Source organism: Homo sapiens, chromosome X, assembly GCF_000001405.40.
Source record: "Homo sapiens chromosome X, GRCh38.p14 Primary Assembly".
In the NCBI taxonomy this organism is placed as follows: Eukaryota; Metazoa; Chordata; class Mammalia; order Primates; family Hominidae; genus Homo; species Homo sapiens.
In genome coordinates, this window is record NC_000023.11 from 47002428 (window position 1) to 47015186 (window position 12759).

Consider the following 12759-nt stretch of genomic DNA (forward strand, 5'->3'; position numbering starts at 1 on the left):
CTGGATTTTCATAAGGATTATATTAAACCTTTATCACTTGGGAAGAATTGACATCTGTACAAGTCCTGTACACATTTTGCTAAATTTATGCTTAAGTGTTAAAATTTTTTGAGCAGTTGTTAATGGTATTATATTTATAATTTAGGTTTCCACATGGTCATTGCTAGTACATACAAATACAACCAATTTTTGTGTGTTGATGTTGTGTTTTCTATAACCCTGCTGAATTACTTAGTTCTGGCAGTTTTATTTAAAAAAAAAAAAAAAAAAGAGGTTCCTTAGGATTTTCTGTGTAGACCATCATGTTACCTGCAAATAAAGATGGTTTTATTTCTTCCTTTCCAATCTGTTTACTTTTTATTTCTTTTCTTGCCTTATTCTAGTAGCTAAAATGTCTTGTAGTATGTCAAATAGCAGTGGAGAGAGCAGACATCATTGTCTTGTTCCCAATCTTAGGCGGAAGGCTTTCAGTCTTTCAATATATTAAGTATGATATTAACTATAGGGTTTTTCATAGATATTCTTTGTCAAGTTGAGGAAGTTCACCTCTACTCCTAATGTGTGGTAGTTTTTTTCATAAATGGGTATTGAATTTTGTCAACTGAAATGATCCCTATCAAATGATATGATCAGGTGATTTTTTTTCTTCTTCAGCCTGTTAATGTTATAGATTACATTGATTGATTTTTTTTAATATTGAACAAGCCTTGCATTGCTTGAGCAAACCTGAGTATTAGTCAGCTTGGGCTGCCATAACAAAATATCACAGGCTGGATAGCTTAAACAACAGAAATTTATTTCTCAAAGTTCTGGAGTCTGAAAGTCCTAGATCAAGGTCTTGCAGAGTTCAGTTTTGGTGAGGGCTCTCTTCCTTGCTTGCTACCTTCTCACTGTGTGCTCACATGGCCTTTCCCTTATGACCTTATTTAAGCTTAATTACCTCCTGTAGGCCTTGTCTCCAAATACAGTCACATTGGGGGTTAAATTTTGGGGGTGACACAATTCAGTCCATAACACCAAGTTGATCAGGGATTATATTATATTTTTATACTGCTTGATTTGACTTGCAAATATCTTGTTGGAAATTTTTATGTCTATGTATTTTTATGTCTTATTTTTATGTTCCCGAGGAATATTGACCTGTAGTCTTATATATATAAAAATAATTATATATAATTAATGTATATATATAAATTTATATATTTATATAGATATAAATTTATATATATATTAATTATATATTATAATTAATGTATATGTTATATATAATTAATGTATATATAAAAATTACAAATTATAATTAAATTTGTAATTTATATATAATTTATATATAAAATAATTATATATAATTTATATATGTTTTATATATAATTTTGGTGACATACACCAAAATTATAAATTTATATATATTTATAAATTTATATATATAAATTTATTTTTATATATTTATATTTTTATATATAAATTTATTATATATATAAATTTATAAATTATTTATATATATAAATAATGTGAGAGACAGGGTCTCGCTCTGTTGCCCAGGCTGGAGTGCAGTGGCACCACCTCAAGCTCAGTACAACTTCCACCTCCTAGGCTCAAGTGATCCTCCTGCCTCAGCCTCCTGAGTAGCTGGGATTACAAGTGTTCATCGCCACGCCCAGCTGATTTTTGTATTTTTTGTAGAGACAGGGTTTCACCATGTTGCCCAGGCTGGTCTCAAGCTCCTGACCTCAAGCAGCCCTCCAGCATTGGCCTCCCAAAGTGCTGGGATTACAGGCAGGAGCCAGTGCACCCAACCTCTCATGATATTTATATCTGTATTGTATCAGGGTAGTACTGGTCTTATAAAATTAGTTGGGAAATATTCCTTCCTCTTCTAGTTTTTGGAAGAAATGGTATAGAACTGGGGTTAATTCTTATTAAAATGTTTGATGGAATTCTCCAATGAAACACTCCAGACCTGGAGGCTTCTCTTTGGGGATTTGCTTAAGTATAAATTTGAGTTCTTTTTTTTGTTTGTTTGTTTGAGGCCTTGCTCTGTCACCCAGGCTGCAGTGAAATGGCACAATCACGGCTCACTGCAGCCTCAACCTCCTAAGCCCAAGCAATCTTCCCACCTCAGCCTCCCAAGAGCTGGGACCACAGGCCTGTGCCGCCATATGCGGCTAATTTTTTAAGAATTTTTTGTAGAGATGAAGTCTTCCTATGTTGGCCAGTCTGGTCTGAAACTCCTGGGCTCAAGTGATCCTCCCGCCTCAGCCTACCAAAATGTTGGGATTACGGGCGTGAGCCACTGCACATGGCAAATTTGAGTCCTTTAATAGATAATTTGAATAGCCCTGTAACTATTTCATGTTGAGTGACTTTGGTTAGTTTGTAGTTTAAGGTACTGGTTTGTTTCATCTAAGTTGTTGAATTTACATGTATAGAATGGCTCATAGTATTCCCTGTGTTGCTTTCATTTTAAAATTCAATCTTGGCTAGACTTCTACTTCCAAAAAGATGGAGTAGGTATGCTTTTCCCTATGCCTCCCACTAAGTACAATTAAAAACCCTGAGCATTTTATATAATGCAAACATAAGACTTTGAAAGATCAGGAGAAGAAAGCAGAACAGCTAGAGTCCTTGAGACCTGAGGAACAACCCAGTTTTATGTTCCCTGGGATTTCTTTTTGTTCCCAGAGTTGGTGCTGGAGAAGCTAGCAACCCAGAAGCACAAACCAGCAAAAACAAAAAACAAAAACTAAGAAAAGCCTGTCCTCTCTAGCCAAATGACCAGGAAAGGGACCGCCTATCAGACAGGAAACCTTTTTTTTATTATTTTATTATTTTTTTGAGACTGAATCTCTGTCGCCCAGGCTGGAGTGCAATGGTGCCATCTCTGCTTACTGCAACCTTCGCCTCCCTGGTTAAAATGATTCTCCTGCCTCAGCCTCCCAAGTAGCTGGGATTGCAGGTGCACACCATCACACCCAGCTAATTTTTGTATTTTTAGTAGAGGTGGGGTTTCACCACGTTGGCCGGGCTGGTCTCAAACTCTTGACCTCAAGTGATCCACCCACTTCGGCCTCCCAAAGGGCTGGGATTACAGGTGTCAATCACTGTGCCTGGCCAACATGGAAAACTTTTAGACAGAAAACTCTTCTCCAGTCAAACACCACAGAAAAATACTTTGGGCCACCCCAACCTTCTCCAGCAAAGATGGAGTAGGGAGCCTAGACAGCAATGATGTACCCCATTTGGGGTTGTGTTAGAGGAGACTGAGTGGACAGTCAGGATTTTCACCTCTGTTCAGCAGTGTCAGTGGAGGCCATGCAGGAAACAATAGCAAGGCATTCTCACCAATCCCAGTGATGGAGGTATCCATGGAAGCCTAGTGGGGGGCTGAAACTCTCAGCCCCACCCAACAGTAACAGGGATGTTGACACAGGCCAAATGGTGAACTAGGTCTTATACAACCACCTGGTGGTAACAAGGCAATGCCCCCAACCCTGATCTCCAGCCAGATAGTGTCATAGGAAGCCAGCCAAAATCGAAGGTTTGCATAAGATCCAGAGTCTCATAATGCCCCAAATGTCTAGGTTTTAGTAAAAAATTACTCATCAAGAATCAGGAAGGTCTCAACTTGACCAAAGACAGATGCCGACATCAAGATGCCAGATATTAGAATAGTTTAACGAAGATTTTAAAACAGCCAACATAAAAATGCTTCAGTGAACAATTGTGAACATACTTGAAATAAGTTAAAAAAAAATAGTATCCCTCTTTCATTCCTATTATTGGCAATTTTTGTATTATCTTTTTTTCTTGCTATAGGTTGGTCAGTTATCTTGATCATTTCACAGAACACTCTTCTTATTTTTGTTTGTTTTTAGAGACAGGGTCTTACTCTGTCACTCACGCTGGAGTACAGTGGCATGATCACAGCTCACTACAGCCTGGACCTTTTGGGCTCAAGTGATCCTCCTGCCTCAGCCTCCTAAGTAGCTGGGACTACAGGCGCATGCCACCACGCCAGGCTAATTTTTGTAGTTTTTTTTTTTTTTTTTTTTTTAGAGACAGGGGTTTCGCCATGTTGCCCAGGCTGGTCTTGAACTCCCGGGCTCAAGCAATCCGACCACCTCGGCCTCCCAAAGTGCTGGGATTACAAGTGTGAGCCAATGCGCCCAGCCCATTACTTTTCTGTTTTTAATCTCATTGATTCCTGGTCTTTATTATTTTTATCCTTCTGCTTACTTTGGGTTTATTTTGCTTTTTTCTCGTTTCTAGTGTTGAGAACTTAATTTATTGATTTGAAGCTGTTTCTCTTATCTAATGTAAGCATGTAGTACTATAAATTTTCCTCTCAGCACCTGCTTTAACTGTGTCTCATAAATTTTGATATGTTGAATTTCATTTTCGTTCTCTTAAGTATATATTTTTTTAACTTCTCTTGAAATTTCTTCTTTCACCCATGGATTATTTCAAAGTGTGATTTTTGGTTTCCAGGTGTTTGGAGGTTTTCTTGTTATCTTTCTGTTGCTGATTTCTAGTTTTCTTTTTTTTTTTCTTTTCTTTTAAGAGATGAGATCTCACTATATTGTCCAGGCTGGTCTCGAACTCCTGGGCTCAAGCAATCCTCCCACCTTGACCTCCCAAAGTGCTGGGATTATGGGTGTGAGCCACTGCGCGTGGCCAGTTTCTAGTTTTGATTCCACTGTGATCAGAAAACACACTCTATATAATTCCAGTTATTTAAATTTGTTGAGGTTTATTTTATGGCCCAGGATATGGTCTGTCATGGTACATGTTCCATGGGTGCTTAAAAATAAGTGTATGCTGCTCTTGTTGGGTAGAGTATTCCATAAATGTCAATTCGTTCAACTCTGTTAGTTGGTGGTAGTGTTGAGTTCTTCTGTACCCTTGTTGATTTTCTGTTTGTTGGTTCTATCAATTATTGAGAGAGGTTGAGGTCTATAGCTATAATCATGGATTTGTCCATTTCCACTTTGAGTTCAGTTCATTTTTGCTTCACGTTTTGGAGCACTGTTGTTTGGTGCACACACATTTATGATTGCTATGTCTTCTTGATGACACTTTTATCATTATATAATATTCCTCTTCATCTCTGGTAATTTTCTTTACTATGCAGTCTACTTTATCTGATGTTAGTATAGTCACTTTTGCTTTCTTTTGAGTGATGTTTGCATCATATGTCTTTCTCCATTATTTTACTTTCAACCTACTTATATCCTTATATTTTAAGTATGTTTTATTTAGACAGCATATATTTGGATCATATTTTTAAATCTGCTGTATCAATCTGTCTTTTAATTGGTTTAGACCACTTATATTTGATGCAATTATTAATATGTTAGGACTTCAGCGTGTCCTTTTATTTTGTGTGTGTGTGTGTGTGTGTGTGTGTGTGTGTGTGTGTGTGTGTGTGTTCTCTGTTTTTCATTTCTCTGTTTTATTTTTCCTACCTTCCTTGGAGGTTCCCTGAACAAACTACCAAACTCGATCCATGTGAAATAGATCATTTGAATAGCCCCAAAGCTATTAGTAACATTGAATTTGTAATTAAAAACTTCCCCTAAAAATACCTCCAGGCCCAGATGGTTTCACTGAGAATTCTACCAAACATTGAAAGAAATAACAAGTGATAACAGTAGAAGAGAAATTTGAATCAAAGATGAATAGAGTTATAAAAGAAATAGCTAACCATGGGAATATGGGGATATGCTGCTGTTTTAGAAGCTCTAGGTTTACAGCCAAAAAGAACTTAGTGAAGGCAAACTTATCAACATAAATGAAGAAAATGGTTATGGTGAAAAGAATGAAGATGTCCCAGAGGAAGTGATACTAGTGAAAAAGTGCACATTAAAGGAATTCTTGGAAGTATTTTACAACATTGAAGGTACAAAGAACAAAATGTTGAAAACTAATCCACACTTAGAAGGGAATATGACAATTTGCCAAGGGGTAGAAAAGGTGCTTGCTCCATGTTGTAAGTTATGCAATGAAAAGGAGTTAAGCATTGTAATCTTGATAAGTTTTTACAAATAAATAAAAGTGTAATTCTCAATGTTTCTAGTGTTTCAAATTATATTATATTAAATACATATTGGTTTTATTATTTTTTATTTCACTATATGTTTATAGTCAATGGGAAGATAGCTTTTTAATGTTTTGACAAAATTTTTAAAGGTCATTAATGACAGTTTTCCCCATTGTTTATTAAGATTGCTTTTCACAGTTTTAGCTTGCACAGTCATTTTTACAGTATCATACCACCATGCAAAGCAAGGACTATCTGTAATCTTTAGTGACAGAAAGCAGATCATTGGTTTTCTGGGAGGAGACAGGGAAGCAGGAGGATACAAGGAAACTTTTGGGGGTGATGGACACATTATCTTGGTTGTGATGCTAGTTGTACAAATGTATGTAGATGTGTGTGTCAAAACTTTATACATTTAAGATATATACAGTTTATTGTATACCCAAATCATGTATATGATGAATATAATACTTTTATATTCATATATACACATAGATACATTATAAGTATATGAACAATCATCACAAGTAGAGATGAGTATATGTATAGATGGGTAAGAAAATGTGATAGTGGGGTCGAGTGTAGTGGCTCACACCTGTAATCCCAGCACTTTGGGAAGCCAAGGCGGGAGGATTACTTGAGCCCAGGAGTTCAAGACCAGCTTGGGCAACATAGTGAGACCTCGTCTCTACAAAAAGTAAAAAAATTAGCTGGGCATGGTGGCATGCGCCTGTAGTGGAGCTGCTCGGGAGGCCGAGTTGGAAGGATCGCTTGAGCCTAGGAGGTTGAGGCTGCAGTGAGCCACTGCAGGCTGCAGAGAGTACCACTACACTCCAGCCTAGATAACAGAGCAAGACCCTGTCTCAAAAAGAAATGTGATAGTGGCTACATGAAGACACAATCATGGGTGGTTAGAAAAGGAGAAAGACAAGATGTGACTGTAAACTACCTAAGGGCAGAACCCCTACTGTTCAGATAAAAAGGTTTTCAGTAAATATGTGTTGTAAGGAGAATAGGAAAAGAAAACAAAGAGGAAAATGGTGGATGTTAATTAAGAAAATTTGAGAAGGGCCAAAATATAAGTCAGAAAAACAAAGATGAGAACAGGAGGAAACTAAGCCTTCCATTTTCACCATTTGCATTCCTTTCTTTTTTTTTTTTTTCTTTTCATTTTTGAGACAGGATCTTACTCTCTTGCCCAGGCTGGAGCATGGTGGCACAATCACAGCTCACTGCAGCCTCGACCTCCCAGGTTCAAGGGATCCTCTCACCTCAGCCTTCCAAGTAGCTAGGACTACAGGCGCACACCACCGTACCTGGCTAATTTTTGTATCTTTTGTAGAGATGGGATCTCCTTGTGTTGCCCAGGCTGGTCTCGAACTCCCAGGCTCAAGCAATTCTCCCACCTCGGCCTCCCAAAATACCGGGATTACAGGTGTGAACCACTATGCCTGGCCCACTTGCCTTTCTTATACTAAAATAAAAAGATTTTTTTGGCCGGGCATCTCAAAAAAAAAAAAGATTTTTTCACTTTCTCAAGTGCTTGATTGAAAGAGTTTAATGTAAGTAGACATAACATTACAACTAATAAGTGATGTTTTAAATCAAAATAGGGGAATGGGAGGTAGGGAAATTTTACTAAGTTCCTCAGTCAGATCAAGTTTTAAGTTTGTCACATGACCTCTGTGGTTTTCATAAATGTGCAGCTTGCTTTTCTTAGATTTTTTTAAGTGAGATAATTCACCTATTATAAATTTTTATTTTTATTTATTTATTTTGAGACGGAGTTTCGCTCTTGTTGCCCAGGCTGGAGTGCAATGGTGCGATCTAGGCTCACCACAACCTCCGTCTCCCCAGTTCAACCGATTCTCCTGCCTCAGCCTCCCGAGTAGCTGAGATTACAGGCATGTGCCACCACAACTGGCTAATTTTGTAGTTTTAGTAGAGACAGGGTTTCTCCATGTTGGTCAGGCTGGTCTCGAACTCCCGACCTCAGGTGATCCGCCTGGCTTGGCTGGGATTACAGGCGTGAGCCACCGCGCCCGGCCATGTAAATTTTTAAATCAAGATAGAATTCACATACCATAAAATTCACCCTTTTAAATTATATGGTGGTTTTTAGTATATTCACAGAGTTATACAATCATCATCCCTGTGTAATTCCAAAACGTTTTTATCACCCTAGAAAGAAATCCCACATCTGTTAGCAGTTACTAGTCATTCTCCGCTTCCCCCAGCCCCTGGCAACCACTGTATTAGTCTGCTAGGGCTGCCATAACAAAATACCACAGACTGGGTGGCTTAAAGAACAAAAATTTGGACTTTTTCAGACGTTTCTCTTTCTCTCTCTCTCCCTCTCTTTCTCTCTCAAAAAAAAATTATTTTTTCATAGTTCTAGAGTCTAGAAATCCAAGATCAAGGTGTCATCAGGGTTGACGTCTGGTGAGGCCTCTCTTCCTAGTGTGTAAACAGCCACCTTCTCACTGTGTCCTCACATGGCCTTTCTTCTGTACGTGCACAGTTTGTGGGGGTGGAGCTCTGGGGTGTCTCCTTCTAAGGACACCAGCCCTATCAGACTAAGGCCCCATCCTTATGACCTCTCATAACCTTTATTACCTACTTATAGGCCCTGTCTCCAAATAAAGTCACATCATGGGTTAGGTCTTCAACATGAATTTGAGAAGGGCCTATTGAGTTCATAACAACCACTAGTCTGCTTTCTGTTCTTATGGAACTGCCCACTCTGGACATTTCATATAAATGGAATCATACAATGTATGGCATTTTGAGTCTGACTTTTTTCATGTAGCATAATGTTTTGGAAGTTCATCCGTGTTATATGTATCAGTATTCATTACTTTTATGACCAAATAATATTCTGTTATATGGATACACCACATTTTGTTAATCCTTTCAGCAGTTGATGGATATTTGGGTTGTTTCCACATATGGGCTGTTACGAATAATGGTGCTATAAACATCCTCATACAGTTTTTTTTTAAATTTTAATCAGGTCCTCTAGAAGAAAATTCATACAGGTTTTTGAGTGCACATATGTTTTCATTTCTCTTGGGTACATACCTAGGAATAGAATTATTGAGTCATATGGTAACTCTATCTTTAACATTTTGAGGAATTGTCAAACTATTTTTTATAGCATCTGCAACATTTTACATTCCTGTCAGTAATGTGTGAAGGTTACATTTTCTCCACATCCTCACCAATACTTGTTATTGTCTGTCTTTTTGTTATAGCCTTTCTAGTGGGTATGAAGTGTATTTCACTGTGATTATGATTTGCATTTGTCTAATGGCTAATGATGTTGAACAGCTTTTCTCGATGTCCTTCTTAGCCATTTATATATCTTTTGAAGAGACCTTTTCTACTTTATCACACAAAAAAGCCTTTATGAGGTCAGAAAACACAAGATTTTATCTTTGTCTTCTATGAAATGCTGCTGTTCACACAGCCAGAATGAGTCGTCTTAAGTCCCATCACATTCATTTGAGTATGTATGTCCTTGGCTGCTGAAAATCTGACCCTTTAATGAATAGGGCAGCAAAGTTCCCTGACCATCAGTGTTCTAGAATGTCCCATTTTTTAATACTGCATCCATGCACACCTCCTATGTTGTCTTTGGAGAAATTATTCAGATCCTTAACTCAATTTTTTTAAACGGGCAGTCTTTTTATTGAGTCATAAGAGTTCTTTACATATTCTGGATACAAGTCTCTTATCAGAAATATGATTTGCAAATATTTTCTCCCATTCTATTGATTCTCTTTTTACTTTCCTCATGGTGTCCTTTGAGGAACGACAGTTTTTAATTTTGGGCCAGGTGCAGTGACTCACACCTGTAATCCCAACACTTTGGGAGGCTGAGGTGGGAGGATGGCTTGAAACCAGGATCTCAAGGCCATACTAGGCAACATAGCAAGTCCTCATCTCTACAAAAAATAAAAAATTAGCTAGCCATGGTGGCGCATACCTATAGTCCCAGCTGTTCAAGAGACTTACGTGGAAGGATTGCTTGAGCCCAGGAGTTTAAGGCTGCAGTGACCTATGATCACACCACTGCACTCCAGCCTGGGTGACAGAGTGAGACCCTGCCTCAAAAAAAAAAGTTTTTAATTGTGATGAAGTCCAGTTTATCTGTTTTTTTTTTTGTTGTTGTTGTTGTTGCTTGTCCTTTTGATGTTATATCCAAGAAATAGCAAATATTGCCTAAGCCAAGGTCAAGAAGTTTTATACCTATATTTTCTTCTAAGAATTTTATAGTTTGGCTATTACATTTAGGTCTTTGATCCATTTGAATTCATTTTTGTATCTGGCTTGAGGTATTAGGGGTCCAAGTTCATTTTTTTTTATGTGTGGATATCTAGTTGTCACAACACCATTTGTTGGGTAGCTTCCTTTTTGAAAATGATGAACACTGTACCCCAAACCCACCTACCTTGGTTCCATGTATTCCTTATAAGTCAGGCTGCTATGAAAGAAAGCATAGTTATTGAATTAGCAAGAAATCCTAGTTTTATATTTTGAAATCTTAGTTCTTTTTTCAGAGACAGCGTCTCGTTCTCTGTTGCCCAGCCTGGAATGCAGTGGCACAATCATAGCTCACTGTAATCTTGAACTCCTGGGCTCAAGCAATCCTCCTGCCTTAGCCTCCCCAATTAGTTGGGACTACAGGCACATGCCACTGTACCCAGTTATTTTTTATTATTTTTTTAGAGATGGGATCTCGCTATGTTGCCCAGGCTGGTCTCAAACTCCTGGCCTCAAGCAGTTATCCCATCTTGGCTTCCCAAAGTGCTAAGATTACAAACATGAGCCACTGCACCCAGCCAGTTTTATTTTTTTAATCTCCTGTTTCACAGATCTACCAAAGTGACTTAAAATTTTTTTATCTAGTTTGAGATGCTAATTTCTGTACTTTATGCTTCACTCTGTCCAAATATAAGGGAACTTTTTAAAAGTTAATGGAATAATGGAATTAAGTGATGAAAATTAAAAATATAAACTTCATTTCTCAACGTAAGCTCCATCAAGGTCAAGACACTTTTGTAAGCAATGATACCAGCCATTTAGTTCTTCCCTAGAGAACTGAGCGTCCTGGGAATTTAACCATGTCAGTGCAGTCTTTTTTGCATTATTAACTGAAGGAAAATGGGTACCCTTAAAGATTTTTTAATATTAGGACACAAAAAGAAGTCAGAAGGAGGCAAAACAGGACCGTAAGGTGGATGCTTAATGATTTCCCATTGAAACTCTCACAAAATTACTCTTGTTTGATGAGAAGAATGAACTGGAGCATTGTTGTGATAGCAAAAGACGTTCTGGTAAAGCTTTCTTGAGCAGTTTTCTGTAAAGCTTTGGCTAACTCTCTCAAAACACTCATAATAAGCAGATGTTATCATTCTTTGGCCCTCCAAAAAGTCAACAAGCAAAATGCCTTGAACATCCCCAAAAACTGTTGCCATGACCTTTACTCTTGACTGACCCACTTTTGCTTTGACTGGGCCACTGCCGCCTCTTGGTAGCCATTGTTTTGAATGTGCTTTGTCTTCAGGATTGTACTCATAAAGCCATGTTTCATCTCCTATTATAATTCTTCAAAGAAATGCTTCAGGATCTTGATCCCACTTGTTTAAAATTTCCATTGAAAGCTCTGCACTTGTCTGTAGCTGATCTGGCTGTAACCAGTTTCAGCACCCATTGAGTGAAAGGTTTGCTTAACTTTAATTTTTCAGTCAGAATTGTGACTGAAGAACTGTGACTGTATGCTGAACCAGTTGAGATGTCTGTGGTGTTGGCTGTTGTTTGTGCTGTTAATCATCAGTCCTCTTTAATTAGGGCATGAACAAGATGAATTTTTTCCTTGCAAATTGATGAGATGTAAAAATGATGTGAATGTGGGCTTTATCTTCAACTTTGTCTCTTCCCTTCTTAAAACAAGCTATCCATTTGTAAACTGCTGATTTCTTTGGGGCATTGTCCCCATGAACTTTTTGTAAAACAGCGATTTCTCCTTTCTTCTACCCAGATTTCACCATAAATTTGATGTTTGTTCTTGCTTCAGTTTTAGCCAAATTCCTATTGCTCTAATAGGGGCCCTTTTCAAACTGATGTCTTATCCTTCTTAGTGCCTGTAAAAGTTAGTATGAATTTATTTTTGTGTAAATTTTTGAAATCTACATATAGTTTTTTATTTTCCATGAACTTTTTGAAGACCTCTTATATGTTACTGTTTTCCCACCCTACATGACAAAACAGCATTATGTTAATTTTTATTGGTTAATTTTATAACTTTTGTGTTAGTTTTCCTTTTGTGTATTTTAAACAGTTTTTGAAATTAAAAATAGCTTTATTCTCAAAAACCATAAATAAAAATGTTCTCTTCCAATGTAATTGCCAAGTTTAAATAAATGTAAGTGTTCTATAACAAACCCTTGCAATAATTATTTTTAGATTTAAAACTCTTATCTTCAGTGATTATGTATTACTATGTTAATAATTGTTGAATTGTAAAAATTATCTCCACCTTCCAAATTTTAAAAATTGTAAGTCAGAGTGCATTGAAAGCATGATGACATTCCTTAATTCTGCACTGAAGGTTTTTAATAAAGAATGTTATAGCAATTCACAATAACATGTGGAAAGTATCAGAATGTAAAAACAAAAAATTATGAATATATTATTTTGGGCTTGCTACTTCATAT

General features: G+C 37.2%; 1 protein-coding gene across 2 annotated transcripts in view; it reads left to right on the plus strand.

The window, feature by feature from the left end:
- The window catches only part of JADE3 (jade family PHD finger 3), a 148942-nt gene that overhangs the window by 90127 nt on the left and 46056 nt on the right, over positions 1–12759 (plus strand). The window lies entirely within an intron of this gene.